The sequence below is a fragment of the Homo sapiens genome, chromosome 4, assembly GCF_000001405.40.
Source record: "Homo sapiens chromosome 4, GRCh38.p14 Primary Assembly".
Lineage (NCBI taxonomy): Eukaryota > Metazoa > Chordata > Mammalia > Primates > Hominidae > Homo > Homo sapiens.
This window is the reverse complement of record NC_000004.12, coordinates 158,173,492-158,193,038: the sequence shown is the minus strand read 5'-3', so window position 1 is coordinate 158,193,038 and position 19,547 is coordinate 158,173,492. Positions and strand designations below refer to the sequence as shown.

The window sequence follows — 19,547 nt, the reverse complement described above, 5'->3', positions numbered from 1 at the left end:
CATTTTTCTAAAAGTAATAGCCAAAGTCCTTCCAAAGGCTTACAAGGCTTTGGCCCAGCTCTGAGCTTTCCTCTGAGATCATCTTTTATAATAGTGTCTCACTCAGATCTAGTCCTCCTCAAATTCTACCATGGAGTGAGTGAGGGGAGTATTGTAGGACCGTCAAAACAAGAATGAGTGATAAAGCAAGAATGGGCACAGTGAGGGCAAGGGGTGCAGGGTGGGGTGTATGGTTCAAGTGGTACAGATCAAAAACTAAGAGTCCACGTAGGAGCAGTTCAAGAATTTTGTCCAAAACAAAACAAGTGAAAACAAGATCTGTACCCAGCCCCTTGGAAATAGGCCTAGTATGAAGAAGGCAAGAAAACAGCTCCAAGTGCCCGGCATAGATCTTGCCAGCCTTGGATACCCTTGAGTCCTAAAATTAGGCCAAATGTGGTCTGGCTTTGTTGTAGCGGTATTTGGTGCTAGGAAGCCTGTACATGTTTTGACACAAAAAATATTTCTAAACCTGGTGGTATGAGGAACCAACTCCTGTAATAACACTGACTTGATTTTCTCCTAGAAAAGTGATGAGATGGCTCCTATAACTATAACTGAAATTTCCTTGGGAAAAGCTGGGATGTGGCTAACACGAAGGCAAGCAAAAAAAAAAAAAAAAAAAAAAAAAAAAAACAACTGTGGCAGCCAGGACAACTGGGAGAATCAGCTGTGATCTAGCTCATGGATAATCTTCCTTTTATTCAGAGACCAAGAATACATAGACCAAGAGCAGATATACTGATTGCTATCTTTTAAAATACAGTCTTGATAGGGCCATATTGTAAACCAAGCAAGCAGATAATAAAAAAACGAAACAAAACCAGAAAGAAGCCTTTTGTCTGCCCACTTTAAAACATTGTACTGGGAAAAATCTACTGCAATGAAATCTACTGGGTAGGATCCCAACTGTTGTCTTACAGCCCAGCCTCATCATCTGCCTCGTCCCTTTTTCTGATACTGATCTCAGTTTATTAATCCTTTTCCAGTCTGTACACGTACCTTTCCAGTTTTGTTTCTGGCATATTAGCTCATTGTTACCTGCTTGTTTCTGGGATTCAATACTGCTTTTATGATTACTTGGCTGTAGCTCTTCTATTCATTACATCTGCTTTGCTTGGGTCCGTATGCTTTAGGTCCCTGTGGGTATAGTTGGCCCTAGTATTATAACCTTCCCCGATCCCAACTCCCCTGGCCCCTTTGTCATCTGTATTTGCCTTATCCTGGCTTCTCCTAGACCATGTCCTTGGGTTAATCCAGGCTACCCTCAGAGATATACAGGCTACTCTATGCAGACATCTCATGACATGATAGAAAATTTCATCATAGCACATCCAGCCACCAAATAAAATATTCCAGCATGCTGACAAGGTTAAAGGTTGGTCTAATTAAATTTGTCCTAGCTGAGAATTTAGGACTTGGTCCTAGACCCTTCTGTAACTAGACCCTCCTGTGAATCGTTTCCATAAAGTCCTGATGAATGTGACAAAAATTTGGTGATGAATCCTTTATACTTATATGTAATTGATGCTGTTGGTTTACTACAGAGTTGCCCATGTAGCCAATATACACTTCCCCCAGCTGCTGAAAGTGCAGAAGTTGAGGCCTAGGCCAGCAACTTTCTCCAAAGGTTCTCCCTTGGCTGACCGAGCTATCTCATCCAGAGATGCTTGGGAAGTTACTCCCTCCCCCTACCCCCACTCTACCTGGATTAGACTTCAAATCCAGTTTTTTATATAGGGTGGAGTTGAGGGAAATGAGCCTTCTTCCCACATAATCACCATATGGGACTCTCTGGGAAAGGCTACTAGTCTGTGACTTTGTGCTGTATGAGTGGTGCCAATTAAAATTATTCTTCCTCCCACCTTTAAATAAAATCTACCTTGTGACTTCACATTTTTAGTCAATTCAAGCATTAAAACCTTTCTCTTACACTGATTAGGGCATTATTTCCAGATGAGAGCTCTGATACATCTTTTTGGACAAGCTGTCAAATCCTTGCATCATCAAGTATGCTTTACCCCAGTAATGACTTGCATCTTTTACAGGAAATAGATCTTCAGACTTATAAAATACAGGTACGAGAGAGAGTGTTAGTTCCTTTCATCAAATTGCATTGATGTGAGGCTTGAGAAAGAGGCACTGGATTCTGTTTCCATGACAACCGCTTCACTGCTCAAGGGGAAAACAGGACAGTGATTGAAATCTGTGTTAATGGCAGCTCTAAAAATAATCAGCAATGTATTGAAATCAAATGAAAGACCCAGGAAGCAATTAATAAAAATTGTAACCATGGAGAGTGAGATTATTACAGTTATAATATTCTTTAAGAATTACAGAAATGGCTGGTGACAAAAATAGTTTTGGGGAGAATCAATTATTATTTTGTTTCAGGTGGCTGTCGATATATTCATTATATGCCAGCCATAGGTTAGGACCTGAAGATACAGAGGTGAATCAACAATGTCTCTATCTTCCAGGACCTCATGGTTTTATCTTCTAGGATCTACAGTTTTATAAAAAGAGAATCCACCATGATTATAATGGACATTTTGTTTGCATACCCAACATCTAACCATTTCCCACTGTGTAGCAGCCAGGCAATTCCATAGCCAAGTCCAGGGACAATTCAAAATCATTTAGTATAGTTATTGGTTCTTCAGTGAGCATGCAACCAAGGCATAAACCTATATGACACCCTTTTATTAAGAGTGGCTTCTGCACAAAGCTCAGAAATGTTGAGTGGCTGTGGGATGCTTATAATCTTTTTTACTTAAACATAAAAGAGGGAGCAGTAAGGTCTGCTGCTTCAGGCAGCTACCTTGTGATTAGGGGGAAAATCAGCCTGAGGATGAAACCAGCCCTTGGACAAGGGCAATGCCAAGAGAATCACAGAGAAACACAGCCAGACCTTACTGAACTGCATGAACCTACTCTATCTACCTCCATATGTTCTAGAGATCACAACCCACCAAATTTCTTTTTGTGGAAGCTTGAGTTGCGTTTTCGTGTTTTTCTCACCTGAAAATAAAAAAAAGCATACAGCTAATAACAAATGTCAATGTCATGAAATAAGTGTAATATTGCAAATAAGCAGAGGTAACTATTGGATGTACAGAGAGAGAATAAATCAGAGGGAGAAAGAGGAGGTAACAATGAACTCAATCTCGGAGAAAGGAGAGCAGAGAAGATCATGAAGCATCTTATATTGTGAAGGCAGAAAATTCAGCTTTGTTGTCAGCATAGTTCCTGACTGTCCAACTGTCTAGGATTGCCGGTCAATGGCAAAATGGGCCTATTTTAACCCAAGCTGTATGCAGAGGTGGATGTATCATGAACCTAAAGAAGCTTAAGCTCATGTGCTTGTTACTTATACTTCCCCTTTGGGGAGGAAGTAGCAGCCATGGCTGCACATTAGCAAATGGGCTGCCCCAACTTAAAGGTTATACTCTTAGACCTGGTGGTGTTTTTCCATTGTGGATGGAATTTTTGAAATTGTGATGTTTATGGTATATATCAACTTTTAAAATGTTGTAACTTGGTTTTATGTATTTTCTAAGTAAATATTCTCTTTAGTATCTAAATTTGTATTCTTTTAATTAAATAAGGTGCTCCAAACTGTATGATTGTCAGACCCACAAAACCTACATCTGTCACCTGTTTTATGAGTCGAATATTCTGAGTCTTCTTCAGATAAGTCGGTTTTAACTAAAGCTTATTTCTCTCCAGCATCTTCCTGCAATCTGTAAGACGTATGAACATGGTGAAGTATCTGCCTATTTCTCTATTTTCTAAAATTTCAGACATAGCAGGCATGTTGTCTGAGAGAGCGGGCTATCAGCACTATTTCTACGTTCTCCTGGCCTCCAGGAACAACCATTGGTGAACCCAGTCAAGTATCTGGGCCTTATCTTTTTTTTTTTTTTTTGAGATGGAGTCTCGCTCTGTAGCCAAGGCTGGAGTTCAGTGGCATGATTTTGGTTCACTGCAATCACTGCCTCCCAGGTTCAAGCAATTCTCCTGCCTCAGCCTCCTGAGTAGCTGGGACTACAGGTGAGTGCAACCACACCCGGGTAATTTTTGTATTTTTAGTAGAGACGGGGTTTCACCATGTTGGTCAGGCTGGTCTGGAACTCCTGACCTCAGGTGATCCACCTGCCTCGGCCTCCCAAAGTGCTGGGATTATAGGCATGAGCCACCGCACCTGGCCTCTGGACCTTATCTTTAACCCCAATGAGAAGAACTTGAACTACTCCTTGTTCTCATCTCTGACTTGGGGACCTAAGAATTAGGCTTCATAGCTGTTTAACATCACAAATCCCAAACTTGAAGGAGTGAAGAAAATAAGTGAAATCTGGACAGGTTAGACCAGGTGCTGCAGAAGTTTGTGTGTGTGTGTGTGTGTGTGTGTGTGTGTGTGTGTGTGATGTTGGGGCAGGCATACTCGGCTGTATCAAAGGGTTGGGATTCTCTGAGGGCTTGTTCCCAGACAAAAAACCATGAGAGCAAGAAACTGGAGATATTTAGAAGGAGCAAAATTCAATAACTAGATATGAAAAGGAAAAACATTTTCTAAATTTAAATAAATTGCAGTAAATAATATTAAAGACTAGGTTATTTTTCTATCCTCCCTAGAGAAAGCATTGAAAAAATCATTGCTACATAAAGAACTTCTCAAAGCATATCAAGCCAAAAAATGTAGAATAAATATTATAAAGCTGTATCAGGCAGTTAATGATGATACTAACAGTAGTAATTTATTAAATTTTTAAAATTGTGATGTTTATGGTATTTATCAATTTTTAAAATGTTGTAACTTGTTTTTATGTATTTTCTAAGTAAATATTCTCTTTAGTATCTAAATTTGTATTCTTTTAGTTAAATAGGGTCCTCCAAACTGTATGATTGTCAGACCCACAAAACCTACATCTGTCACCTGTTTTATGAGTCGAATATTCTGAGTCTTCTTCAGATGAGTTGGTTTTAACTAAAGCTTATTTCTCTCCAGCATCTTCCTGCAATCTATAAGAAGTATGAACATGGTGAAGTATCTGCCTATTTTTCTATTTTCTAAAATTTCAGACATAGCAGGCATGTTGTCTGAATCCTAAATGCAATGGGCAATGATTTAACCAACTGTTTTGTTATTACATGTACCAGTTTCCTGGAAGTACCACAAACTGGGTGGCTAAAAACAACAGAAATTTATTCTGTCACAGTTCTAGAGGTTAAAAGTCTGAAATCAAGGTATCAGCGGGGTATGCTCCTGGTGAAGACTCCAGGGAAGAATACTTCCTTGCCTTTCCCTAGCTTCTGGCGGCTCTCACAATCCTTGGCTTCCTTGGTTTGTAGCTGCATCACTCCAGTCTCTGCCTCCATCTTCACATGGCCTTCTTCTTTGTGTCTCTGTGTGCCCCCTCCTCTTCTTATAAGGACACCAGTCATTTGATTTAGGACCCACTGTAATTCAGTATGACCTCAACTTAATTACATTTGCAAAGGCCCCATTTCCAATTAAGGTCATATTTTGAGGTTTCAGGTGGATATGAATTTTTGGAAGGCACTATTCAAACTACTCCATTACATAACAGGCACATTGTACCCCCAGATGGGGATGGAGTGATTTGCATTGTTCCTATGCCATCTTGTTTCAGCAAGTTCCACATTTTAAAGTCTGTAATTGACAAGATTTCAGTTCTAAGTATAAATACTCCTAGACTTACCTCTTTGATAAATCCATTATATATTCATAATATTCTAAATTGAAAATGCATTTAATACACCTAGCCTACCAAATATCATAGCTTAGCCTACCCTACTTTAAATATGCTCAGAAAACTTACATTAGCCTATGGTCAGGCAAAATCATCTAACCCTAAGATTATTATATAATAAAGTGTTGAATATATCATGTAATTTATTGTGTATAGTACATGATAGAGTACAGTATCATTTTTCAGTCCTCATGGTCACATGACTTGGAGCTGTGGCTCACTACTGCCGCCCAGCATCACGGGAGATTATCATCTCATATCTATAGCCTTGGAAAAGATCAAAGTGTGGTTTCTATTGAATGCATGTAGCTTTTGCATCACTGTAAAGTTGAAAAATTGTAAGTTGAGCCATAACTTGGGGACCATCTGTACAAATCTCTGCATCAATAAAAAATCTTTGAAATGAAAGTGATTAAAACTCAATTTGAGCTTATTAGGCAAAAGGGTAAATTTATTGGCACATTAATTATGGTAAGGACAGGGATGATGGAACATCGAACTAGAGGCTCTAATCTGTATTATTCTCTTCCTTCTCCTCCTGTGAATCTTTCTAAACAGTGACTTCATTTTCTCAAGCTGGCTGAAATGATGTGCACCATCCCTCTTCCTGGGATCATAAACTCATTGCTTCATGACTAGAGATTAAATGTTCTCAATGTAAAAGTCCTGGAAGAAGGCTAATATTCCCACCTTGAGTAAAGTTCTCAACTGTGGGCCAATTGCTGTCCTAACAAGGAGATATACTGTTTTTGCCATAGCTTAGCCATGTATTCATTCTTACATCCAGGACAGTGATGGGGTCTATTACTAGAAGAAATGAGGAAAAAATGTTAGGTAGACAAAAGGTATAAGTTTGCTATCAAATCATAGTTGCTTTCTCCATTCTCTCCTGTACTCCTCCACTCCCCTTTCACATAATACAGAGAATTGGATTAGAAATTGTATGGATTGGTCGGGTGCGGTGGCTCACGTCTGTAATGCCAGCACTTTGGGAGGCCGAGGCGAGCAGATCACCTGAGGTCAGGAGTTCCAGACCAGCCTGCTTAACATGACGAAACTCTGTCTCTACTAAAAATACAAAAAATTAGTGGGGTGAGGTGGCAGGCACCTGTAATCCCAGCTACTCAGGAGGCTGAGGCAGGAGAATTGGTTGAACCCAGGAGGTGGAGGTTGCAGTGAGCCAAGATCATGCCACTGCACTCCAGCCTGGATGACAAGAGCAAAACTCTGTCTCAAAACAAAACAAAACAAACAAACAAACAAAATTGTATGGATCACCCAACAAATAATAGCTAAAGCTAAAAATGAAGGTGAAAGAACAGTAGTTTTTGCTTTCAGTTGCAGTGCTCAAATGCCATCTAAAAAAAAAAAATACATGTGGAAAACACTCCGCACTTGAAAGCTCAGAGACCTGAATTTTAGTCCCTCATCTGCCTCTAACATGTGACCTTGAACAAGTGACTAACATTACTCTTTCTCACTATCAATATGCCTGACATTATGAAAGTCAACAAGAAAGATTTAAAAAGTAGTTTAGGAAAATCTATATTTAAAATGATAGAATGCTCTATATCTTCTGAGAAAGCTGTTGATTTAATTTAAGAAAATTAAATAGGAGAGAAAGTCTTGTATAGTGAAAATATCACTTAATTTGAATTTAAGAGTTCTGATTCTGTCTGACTCTCAAGTTATTTACTGGTAGGCCCCTCAAGCTGCTGCTTCTATAAAATCAGTGGGTTATATTTAGTTTATCTCTTAGGTCTCTTCCAGTTCTAATATTCCATAAAAATACAATGAAACCTCAATTATCCAAACCTTATATTGCTTGCTTCTTATAAAATGGAAATGTGTTTATCCTTCTGGAGGTTTGTAGCATTTCTTAAATCTGAAAAATTCTTGGCTACTTTCTCTTCAAATATTGTTTTAGTCCCATTTTCTTCTCCTTTCTTTCTGTACCTTGAGTAAACCTTTTAATTATATCTGATAAGTTTCTCATGCCCTTTCTGGATTCTCCATCCTCTTAACTGTCCGTGTGTCCGTTTGGGTATTTTCTTCTGACCTACCTTTTAGTTTATAAATTCTCTTTTCAATTGTATATATTTTGTTTTTTTAATACGTGAACTATGAGGTGCTTATTGATAATTTCCTTGTACATATCTTGTATTGAATTCAGTGATCTTACTTAATCTTTGGGTTGATAAGTTTTTTGAGTTTGAAAATTCTATCATCATCTTTTAAAATATTGTTCTGCCACCATGTCTTTCTCTTTTCTTTGGGTCATCTAGTTACACCTATGTTTGATTTTTTAACTGTGTCCAATACATATCTTAAACACTTGGTTTTAATTTTTTTCTATTTATTTTTCTAACACTTTGCCTTTATATTTAATATTTTCTAGGGACCTGTTTTTAATTTCATAAACCTCGTGTTCTGCTTTGTTCTATCTGCCTTTAAAACCAAATAAATTTTTTTAAATTTCAGATTTCTAAAAAATTTCAGACTAAGAATGTCCACTTAATTTTTTTTTTTTTTTTTTTTTTTTTTGAGACAGAGTCTCACTCTCTCACCCAGGCTGGAGTACAGTGGCATGATCTCGGTTCACTGCAACCTCCACTTCCTGGGTTCAAGCGATTCTCCTGCCTCAGCCTCCTGAGTAGCTTGGATTACAGGAGCGCACCACCATGCCTGGCTAATTTTTGTATTTTTAGTAGAAATGGGGTTTCACCACGTTGGTCAGGCTGATCTCAAACTCCTGACCTTGTGATCCACCTGCCTCGGCCTCCCAAAGTGCTGAGATTACAGGCATGAGCCACTGTGCCTGGTCCCACTGATTTTTTATAGCTTCTAATTTTCTGTTGAAATTCTCCCACTCCTTATCTTTTGCTTTACTTTCTTTTATCGATCAATCTAAGTATTTTAAAGTCTGAGTATCCTGTAGAACTCTCTCTAAGTCATTATCTCTATCTTACCAGTAGGGAAACTAAAAAATTTCATGAAGAATAAAATCCATTGTACAATGCGTAATATAGTCAAAGATCTTGAAAAAGAATTGGTGTCTAAACCATTATTTTTCACTTTTAATCAATAAACATTATTCCTCTTTAGAGGAGGTAAAAAAACCCATATAAAATATACTGAAAATAAATTTCATTAAACATTAAATGATGAATAGTTCTAAATCTATCTTCTTTGCATTCATTAACTAGCACTTCAGAGCAAAAATAATGGTAGCTTTTGTTATGGCTTCATATTTCTTTAAAATATTGACTTAAAATAGATTTTCAATCTGGGGAATAGATAAGAACTAATGCCATTTGGTTTTAAATAGAATTGTGTTGTAATCCTCAAGCTAAAGGCATAGCAAAAAAAAAAAAAATGACAACATCACTGGAAATTTGCCTCAGTCTACTTACTGTTCACCATTTAATTAGACACTTTTTAATTCTGGCAGAAAGTCTAAGGAATTCATGGATCCACCTTCTAAGCACATCAAGGAGTGTTAATACACTGGACAGTTAGAACAATGGCAGCAGAACATCTTATTTAAACTCTTGACATAATAAAATAATTTTTTCTTGTTTTGGTAATAATATCATTAATACTTTACAGTTGTGGCATACTACAATGTTAAAGATTCAATTAAGCAAGAGAGCACCATAATACACTTTAAATAAGACTGCTATAACTTTCACAGGCACGGTTTCAAACAAGACTAGTCAACCCTCATTATTCATTAGGACTACTTCATATAAGTCAGCTTACCAATAAGTAGCATTTTACAAAAGCCTCTTATCTACTGACTTACCATATAGGTCTTAGGAAAAATGTTTTATTTTTGAATAGTTATATGGATACTATAAAGATGGTGACTGTTTATCACTATGTTGTGAAATTTCTTGCCTTCCTTCAATTTTTTTTTTAAGTGGAGAAATGATTTTCTAAAAAGTCTGAGTCTTCTAAGCATAGCTCATCTCCTGGTAAAAATTGCAGTGCTCCATTAGTTAATAATGCCATCGCAAGCCGTCCTTTTCTCTCTTCTAATGTACCATACAAACAAAATTTGTGCAAGTCAAAGAGCAGGGCAAAGTTTTCATACTTCATAGAGCTTTAAGTAAGTTTATTTCATAGAACTGTGGGAGTGCCAGCCAAAGAGCTTCCAGTATGAAACTTTCAGTTGCCTTTATGGAGATGGCCACTGGCAGCCTACCACCTTGGTCATGCTCCCGTGGGCAGGCAGGGAGAAGGCAGCTTGCGCAGACAGCACAGAAAAAAGGCCTTTGGATAGAGGCGACTTCCCAGGCTCGTGAGCTGCAAGAGCCAGGCGCTCCAGTAGCACAGAGCCCGGAAATCGGGCACGCAGTCGGAGCGTGCGTGCAGGCACAGGAAGTGACGCAGAGTTGATGCGTCAGGCTTAGGCTCAGACTGCAGTGACAGCAGCTGCGTTCAGGTCTTCTCGAGTTCCTGAAGGATGGAGCCTGGGTTTTTTTTTTTTTTTTTTAATTTATTTCTAAATTTCCCCCCTTTTCCCTCTGTGTTGGTCATTTGCTGTTGTTATTTTTGACATGTTTTATAATTTTCAGTCGGTTTTCAGAATATAGATAGCATACTGTACATTCTCTATATGATGTTCCCACGAAAGTGCTGTTTTTATTTTTTAGTTATAAAGCACTTCAGTGAATGACTTTGATCCAGTTGAGACTTAGTTTTAAGCTTTGTTATACTTGACCTTTTTAATTTGCTACTTACAGGATGTGACCATTAATCTTAGAAAGTAGCTTTGCCCAAGTCCTGGACCTAGGTTTAGCACGCTCCCTCTGGATTTAATTCTAATCTCTAACTCCTCAGTGCCATTCAGCTGCTGAAATCTCTGCTCAGCATTCAAGCTTTCTGTTTGCTGTTTCCCACTACATATCTTGAAGGCTTGCCTTGTACATGCACAAGTCAGAAATTTACCCACAATTTGAGGGAAATTAGGATGCAGATTTGGGGACACTCTCTTAGCTTCCTGTCTTTTTCAATAGTTTGCTCCTCAAATCACAGCTCCTTTGGCGTCCTGAAACGCCAGACTTTGTCTCCTCTGACGTGTGAAACTCCTGCTTTCTTCTTGGGCTCTTTTCGCCTTCACCACAACTTGGAAAATGCCCCCAGGAAAATTCCGAGGTGAATGTTGAATACATCTTGTGTGCTTCCCTTTCTCAAGGATTTTAGCTGCTCAATATTACTTGCACTGGCTCTCCAATGCCTTCAGAAGATTGTTTATATATATATATTTTTCCAATTTTTAAACTTATTTTTGGTAGGAGGTTTAGTTAAATGTAAGCTACACTGTTGACTCCAGGGCCCAACATTTTATCCAGTGAATTTTAATTTGAACAGTTTTATCATTTCTAAATGTTATTTTAAGATTTCTTTTTAATGTGTACCCAATCATTTTTAAAACCTTTTGTTGCATGTTCCCTTTGTCTTCCTTTAAACAGTTTATATTTATCTATCTATATTTATGTTTGGATTCAAATAATTCCAAAAATTCTCTCTCTCTTTGTGTTTTTTTTTTCTTTGTATGCTTGTGATTTCTAATATTAACCGCAGATACCTTGATGTCATTTATGGAAGTTTTAAATTTCAGAATCTTTCATTTTTAGGAAATTTGTAAACAATGGATTATATGCATTTTTTCCTTATTTATTCTGGGTCTAGGTTTTAGGTAAGATGGCCTTTGAGAGTTTCCAGCCTGACAATATATACTGCTTGAAACAGAAAGTTATACATTTTAATTTTGAATTGTGCTCTCTGTGGAAAACTTGAAAAGAAGTAAAAATGTTTCGTGATGAACTTATGTTCACCAAGCCTCTCAGACACTTATATGCTTTGGCTGCAGAAATTCCAAACTCAACTTATTAAACTTTTTTATTTTACAAAGCTATATATTTTAGAAAGAAATCTATCCACCTGTTAGCTGAAATTCAATTAATTGTAAAGCATTTTTTCTTATTTAACGAAAAGAAGAATGTCTTTTTTTCCATGATTCAATAATTGAATAAGTGAAAATAAGCTTTGGTTCAGTTTGAAACTTATGACAGATTGGTAGGTGAATTATTTATCAATGAAAATGAATTATCTATAAAACTACCCAAAGCAGTCCAATACTGTCACTTGGTAGACAAATTTAGCATGATTAGAATTGACATATTTAAGGTAAGTAGGCATGGTCTACTTAATTATATTGAGACAGATAGAATGGGAAGAATTGAGACCTGAAACTAGACATTTCTGTTTGGTTTGGGCAGGTTCTCAGGGTGGCAGATGAGGAAGAAGGTGGAGAACAGGATAGAAATGAAATTTTGAGAAGGGAGTCCAGCCTAGAAGGTAGGATCCTGTAAGTCCCTTGACTGCTAGGCCATTGTATATCATTTTAACTGCTACTTCCAAAGTGTTTTCACAATGTCTCTCACATGATAGTTGCTCCAAAAATATTTTAAATGAAAAAAATTGAATAATAGAGGAGTCTAAAGATATGACAACAAATACTTCGGTCTCTAATAAGCGATTACAGGTTTCTCCATAATAAGGAGATACCTGCCAGGAGAACTGTCTAAATCCATTCAATAATTGGGTGACCTCTCCCTTGATCAAAGTATAAATGGGCATGACCAACTCTGAATCTCCTTTTGACCGTGATAAATGAATATTTCTAAGGTCTGTCTTTCCCCACCTGATAATGACAAAGCTGACTTTTTTTTTTTTGGCATGGTAAGGGCTTGCATGTATTAATTCATCTAATCCTCACACCAGCTCTATGAGATTGATGCCATTATTAAGAAAGGTAAAACAAGTATTCAATTATGATACCCCGCATTTCAATTACATTGCCATGACTTACCTCATTATAGCCTCATATAGGTTACCATAGACTAGTTCTAAATTTCAAAGGCAAAAATTGCCAAAGATTTGAATCCAAAGTAGCATGCAGACTACAGTCCTGATTATATTTTAAGTCTTTTGTTAAGTATAAAAGAAGATAGTGAAGCAAATTCTGGATAATTTGCTGCATTAGTAACTTAATAATACAACTTTTTCTTGAACCTGAAATCATGTGTTGATCAAGGAGTCTTACCAACAGTGTCTTACATCTCTTTAGAGAGTGCCTAGCCATTAGTATCATCCTTGCAAGAAAAGAGAAAATAATGAATGAGCAATTACATCTTACAGTATATTGAGCACTGTGCTAAGTGCTTTACATATAGCATCCAATTTAATTATTAGAACCGTTCTGTGTACTAGATATAATACTCTTAGCTTTTCAGATGAGGAAACTGGGCAAAATTAAATATCTTGCCAAAAGCACCTACCTGAGATAGGAATCTTTTTGTTTACAAATTCGTTAACTCAGTTAAATGCAGATTTGTTGTCATAAATTATATTGTCTGGTTATTTCTCTAAGCAATTAGTGCAAAGATAAAACAAGGAGTTGCCTTTGAACTGATGATTACCTCAGTCAAGGGTGGCTTCATTCCCCAAAGAACTGCAGTATAATGTGCATTCTTAACCAAAGCACTGGTCATTTCCTGTGGAAAAATAATTGGAGTGTGTTATATTTAGAGAACGACATGTTCATTCTTATAAAAATATTCAATTTTTTTTTCCTGTGTTATACTCCTTGGTATCTTTTCATCTTTTTATTTCGGAACCCATTCCAAGCTTCTAACCAAAAGCTTTTAGGCTTATAATTTTTGGCTATGCTACAGGTTACATGACCATGGGAACCCGATGACTGCCTTTTGGAAAACAGTGTGATTTTACTATAAAAGGAGTCTTTATGGATTCATAACTGGTGATGGGCTGTTGAGGATTGATTTTTCTCTGGTGTTTTTCCTTAGGCAGTCCCTCCACACCCAGCCATGGGTGCTCCTGGTTTTCATTCCATGGGCTGTGAGCTGTAGTCTCTCTCAAATTCCTTCTTTTTCCGGTTTCTACATGCTGTGAACTTGCTTTGAGAAGGGGCTTGAATCTATAGAGCTGAGTAGGTGAGAGTGGGTGGCTGGGCAGGGTATGTGATGTTAACACATTCTGTGTTTTTGATCCAAAGGGTAAAATATCAGGAAGGAAATGGAACTCTCATAAAGACGGCAAAAGGAATAGAACGACCTTAAATAAACTGCAAATATTGTTTTGAATCACCTCCCAACTTTTTGCTTTTCTGTCCTTCTTCTTTTGGCATCTTTCTGTCTTCCTCCTGGCCTGCCCCATTCTTTTTGGGGCTTCTCACTAGGGCAGTCACCTGGAGGGCTTGTTTCAATATCTGTATTGAAACAAGACTGTCCTCCAGTTTCCGATTCCATAAGTCTCCGGTGGGTTTTGAGGATTTTCATTTCTAACAAATTTCTAGGTGAAGCTGATGCTGCTGGTTCAGGGCCACACTTTGAGAACCACTGGCCTTGGGATGTGTTTTACCATCTTAATATGTTCATTCATTCATGCATTTGTTCATTCAGTTAATGTCCAGGCAGTGCCTTAGACATTGCATACTCCCCACAGAATCCAGCTTTAGTGACAAGCATTGAGTAGGTCTTCAATACATTTTAAACTGTTGTGCAATGTGCATTTCTCCAGGTCTCACTAGCCCATGGCTACCAAGCATTCTTTGGCAGGAGTGACTTGAACTGCACTGACTTTTACCCTCTCCTGTGTAGAACAAGAACTCCAGCACTGCTCCAAAAAGCACTTATTGTGTCTTAGGGATGCCTAGTCTTGTAGTTCATATACTTATAACCCAGGCAGTTCTGGTTACCACACACAAGCCTCTCCCATGGATGTCTTCTCTCTGTGCAGCTACTTATGGGTAACTTACTGCTGCACCTGCTGCTGTTGCTGCTTTCTATGGTAACCATGAAGTACACACCATGGGAGCTACCCACCTGTGCTCCAGAAGTTGCAATACCGGAGAGGTGATGGAGAGGATGAGATGCTCCCTGACCCTGCATCATATTTCCTCACCTTGCAAGCCAATGGCTGCTGATGCTTTGATATTGCACAGAATAATGTATGAAAATATCTCCATCAGTGCCTTCCTGTAGTTCTTCTTTTCTGGTGCTTGAATCCATAGTATTGGGGAGGTGGGCGTGGGTGAATGGGTAGGGTATGTAACATTAACCCAGTCTGTCTTTTCCAATCCAGTTTTGCTATCAATTCTTGAAACTTGTGTATGTAGTTACATACCCCAACATTGTATCAGATATGCTATATATGTCTGAATCATAGTAGGTGATCCAACTCAGTTGCAAAACTACCAGATACAGATGAATAAAGGATTCCAAATTTCTCTCTACATTTTCTCCTGCACTTTAAGGTGTTTGTTTATAATCCCAATGCATTTCTAACATTCCAGATTTAATCTGGTGAAGCCAGGGGCCTTCCCTTCCTTTAAATGTACTCTGTAGAATTTTTTCTTTTACATAAACTATACTTTAGGTGAGGAGAGAAAAAAATAATTTGTTGGTCTCCGCTAGTTTCCTGCAAGGAGCCCAAGGGTTGAGCAGTTTTATCCAATCTTTACTCCTTTACAAACACAGAAAACTACTGCTGCGTAGGTTGTTCTATGCCAAGAATGACCTAGAGCCAGTGTGTCTGTCCTGGTTTCTCCTTTGTGTGTGTGCCCTGGGGACAGAGATGGAGCAGAGTATCGAGACATTGAGTGCCCATTTCTGAAATAGAGAAGCTTAGTTGTCTAGATTGTGTGGGGGCTTTTTGAAGAAACCCAGGGCAACCTCCAATTTTCCTAATTCTTACTTTATTCCATGATAACTCTATGAATTATCAGGTTTTAGAACTATAAAAAAATGCAAATTATTCTAATCTGCATAAATTATCTAATTATTAAGAAGTGAAATAATAATTTTATACATGTCTATCATTTCAAATATATGCAAAATTGGCTGTCGTACATTTTATCTCTTTACCATATCATGGTATGTTCATGCAGACATTGCCCAGCTTCTGGTCATGTGGCAGGACCATTCTAACACAGACACAACATCAAATAATGGAACAAATGTTCCTAGGGAAATGAGGCAAATGGATTATTGCAGGAGATTTCCATACCAGGAAATTGGAGGAAGGTGCAAGTTATAATAGTAGACAGAGGAGAGAATACCTAATACAATGCAATGCCAGGCATTTTACCTGCTGGAAATATGCTTATTTGGTGTTCTCTTGAGGTCATATATGAGTGATTAGGCTGGCACATAGTGTTACTTCACAGACTTGTAAGACCAGTTCTGAGGAGACAGGTGATTTTCTCCAAAAGCACTTTTCCTACTGCAAATAGATGTACTAGTTTAGGTCAACAGGAATGATGTCCTTAGGGGTGAGCAATAAAGTGCCAGATAAAAAGTGCACATATTTCTATAAAATATATTCAATGTAACTTCTTTTACATACAGTTCAAAAGACAGATACAGTATAGAGTACTATTTAACACTTCTATGACAAAACTTCAAAGACTATTAAGTTAAAAGTTTTTCAGCTGCAGGCAGGGCAGCTTGGTGCTGTCCAGGCCTGGTGTTGGAATGGATAGCAAAGGTATTAGCAAATTCCATACAATAAGTAGGACAAAGGTTGTAGCCAGGAACCTATGCTAATGCTGGGATTTTAATTATAATAGGGTTATGGGTCCTAGAAATCAGGACTATGAGGAGCAAGGGATAGGGTCCCCCAGTGGAGGAGTCTGTGCAGCACTGAACCAAGAACAAGGTATCCATCTCCAGGTCTGCAATCTATGCAACAAACCTGGGTCAGCAGTGGCAAGGAAAAACTTAATACTTAGCTTTTAAGTGATTGGAGTCCTTATATATTGTCCTTCACTTTCCCAAGGGCTCTCAGGAGATGGGCAAGCTGCCACACAGTCACAGCAAGTGACACACCTGACAGGAATGGGGGAAATGAGAGTGCTGTGGGTGGAAGAATGAGGCCCGATTCACTATCTAATCTGGTCCAGGAGTTGTCCCAGACTGAAGGCAAATAGCCTTTACCAAACTAGGATCTTACTATTGGAAGCCTTGAAGGATTTACGGATTACTTCATTGCCAGTGAAACCTAAGACATCATTTAATTGTAAAAAGGTGTTAACTTGCTCCTAGAACTAAGTATTTAACTCATAGTACAGTGAATTATAACTCTGCACATTAGAAGCTTTTAAAACTGTGGATTCCTGGGCCCTACTTTAGATCATTTAGAATCTCTGGGAAGATGGATGGGGTCTAGACACTCATATATTTTTAAAATTTTCAGGGATTTTACTGTTCTTTAATATTTAAACTTAATTTTTAAATGACTGAAGTAATATGCGTTTTTTATTGTAAACAAATTATTTGTTCTACTCTCCTATGTAGATTTATAACATATATACAAGGTATAAAGAATATAAAATAAATAGCTATTTATGTACCACCTTTTCCAATTTGATTGAAGGATAAGATATATATAAATATGGAAAAGTACAGAAATCACAAATGTATAGTCAATGTGTTATCCCAAAATAAACATACTTAGGTAAATCCCATCTAAATGAAGAAACAGAACATTCCCACAATCCTGCTTTGCTCATGTTTTTTCTCCATCACCATCCTTGCCCCTCCATAAAGATATAAAAAGTCCTCAGGTAATTCCGATGGTCCCTACCATTATCTTACTGTCTACTTTTTCACTTTATTTCTCTCATTGTTTTTTAAGAAGAGAAAGTACTTTAGGCATGAGAATTATTTGTCTCTCTGATCTAATAATATTAATAATAATGAATACTTTGAGTTCTATATGTTCACTCACAGATTATATTGTAAGTTATACACGAATGTTATATTGTGGCAACAAATTTTCAAGCTAACGCTTGTTCAAGGAATTTAGCCTTATTTTTCTAAAACTAAATTAAACTTCTCTGTTTCCCATGCTACCTGATGGCAAAAAACACCTTTCCATTCAGTTTCAACAGAGACCATGAGCAATTGATGGCAATTGCTTCCACATTCGAAAATGAGATATGGATCCGCAGTGCTAAGGGAGGTGGGTTGCTGCATTGGGAAGTCTGAGGTTGCTGGAGCAAATGATGGTGACCATGTCCACTGGATCACTTGTGGGGCAGTACACAGAGGCCCAAGTTAGAAAACCAGCCTGCAGGTCAGCTTAAATGCTGCCTAAGAGAACAGCCTGGAGAGATGAGGTGATCTCAACAGAACAGGGGGCTACCAAGTTCCAAGGGACTAAGGGGCCATCAACAGCCAGCTAGAGAGATGCTTTGATAGTGGTGTCTTTGAATTAACTATCTCAGAGTCAGCTTTACACACCTGCCAAACCTGGAGAGCTTATAAGTCAATTTGCAGCAGTATCAATGGAGTAGCAAGGCCATTTCTGCTATTATTGCTTCTCTCTCTCCACTACCTTGGAACAGCCAGAGCCAGGCTCAAAGTGGGGTGAGCGGCTGGGTGAGTGGTTAAGGAATAAGAGCTCTAGGCAGGAACAAAAAAGAATGTAAGATGGGTCTCCTCTGTCCCTTTTCAGTAGATTTTGGCTATGCTTTTTGAGGGACTGCTATCTTCTGGAGAAATTCTGGGAATTTAAAAGAAATTTTTAAAGAAATTGACTGTGATATAGAATCAAACATATTAATTAGTTTATGTGTATTATGTGTCTGTATGTCTATGGCTAACAACTGGAGAACTTTTACAAAAATTTAAGTATGACTGGAAAAGTCATGGGGACTGCCTGAGTTTCCATTTAAGAAAGTTGAAAAGAGATATCAGGCCACAGAACAGGTTTCAATGGGCAGTGGGGGGAATCACTAAAATTGTGCTCTGATTATATCTGACAAGCCCCATTTATCCACTGTATTGGCTATATCAATATGTTGGCTACAAATAATTCAGTGTGCTTGTCCTCAATTCTACCATGATTGCTTTGCTGTGGTGCAGTGGTGACTATCTGTCAAGGCCTGGGCTGAGGAGAGAGGCCTCTGAGCAGTTTAATGAGGCATCATGGGGGATAAAAACAAACACATTGCTGAATATTTCAAATGATCATTCCAAGGCTGCTATCTCATTCAGTCATCAGAAGAAACCGATAGGGTAAGTGCTATTATTTTTCTTTTCTTACACATGGGGGAAACTGAGGCTTAGAGAGGTAAGATTACTTGCCACAGGGGACCACACGTAAGAGGTAAATGAGGAGAATTTAAAGCCAGTCTGCCTCCCTCTTCAGCCCATTCTCTGAATATCATAGTTCAGAGTAGATAGTGTAGCCTCCACGAATCCCTATTGTGGCTATAGCAGGGGACAGTGTATTGTTCTTTTTCTAGGAGACATTTTTGGAGTGGGGGTGGGAAGGTAGTCAACGAAATTTACTAACTCACACAACTCTCCCTATCTCGTAGGCATTTCTCCATGAAAAAAATAGCTCTAAAAACAGCTAGAGGAGATGTCTGCTTATTATAACTGGCCTCTGCCAAAGGCTTACTTTTAATTGTTATAGAGCCAGGTCAGTTATTCCTTTGACTGTGGAAATAATAAGATGGTTATAAAATGCAGCTTTGGTATGGTTTCCTTGCAAGAAGTTCACATTTTCTATCAAGAAAATAATTCTGTGTGTATGGAAGTGTGTGCCTAAGAGTTTTTGAGTGCAGATAAAATTGTTTTGATGCCTGAATTCTCACAAAGTTTAGCCAAAATATCCAGGTACTTCCAGGCTACT

General features: G+C 38.1%; 2 long non-coding RNA genes and 1 pseudogene across 8 annotated transcripts in view; 1 reads left to right on the top strand and 2 right to left on the bottom strand.

The window, feature by feature from the left end:
- GASK1B-AS1 (GASK1B antisense RNA 1) overlaps positions 1-19,547 on the bottom strand; it is a 32,126-nt gene that overhangs the window by 9,839 nt on the left and 2,740 nt on the right. For 3 of the 4 annotated variants that reach the window (NR_147407.1, NR_147410.1, NR_147409.1), the window contains one exon: positions 13,304-13,378. This is a non-coding gene — a long non-coding RNA (GASK1B antisense RNA 1). Of the gene's footprint in view, positions 1-13,303; positions 13,379-15,992; positions 16,128-19,547 lie in introns of all 4 variants that reach the window. The other variant, NR_147408.1, reaches the window with a different exon arrangement.
- Positions 9,646-10,214, bottom strand: NUDT19P5 (NUDT19 pseudogene 5; annotated as a pseudogene).
- On the top strand, positions 10,814-19,351 carry LOC101928007 (uncharacterized). 4 transcript variants are annotated; one of them, XR_007058350.1, is made up of 4 exons: positions 10,814-10,973; positions 12,101-12,179; positions 18,773-18,925; positions 19,231-19,351. It is a non-coding gene; the product is annotated as an uncharacterized LOC101928007 (long non-coding RNA). The 4 variants fall into 4 exon arrangements; XR_007058349.1 differs by lacking the exon at positions 19,231-19,351 and having other exon boundaries at positions 18,773-19,059; XR_001741910.2 differs by lacking the exons at positions 18,773-18,925; positions 19,231-19,351 and adding an exon at positions 14,643-15,147.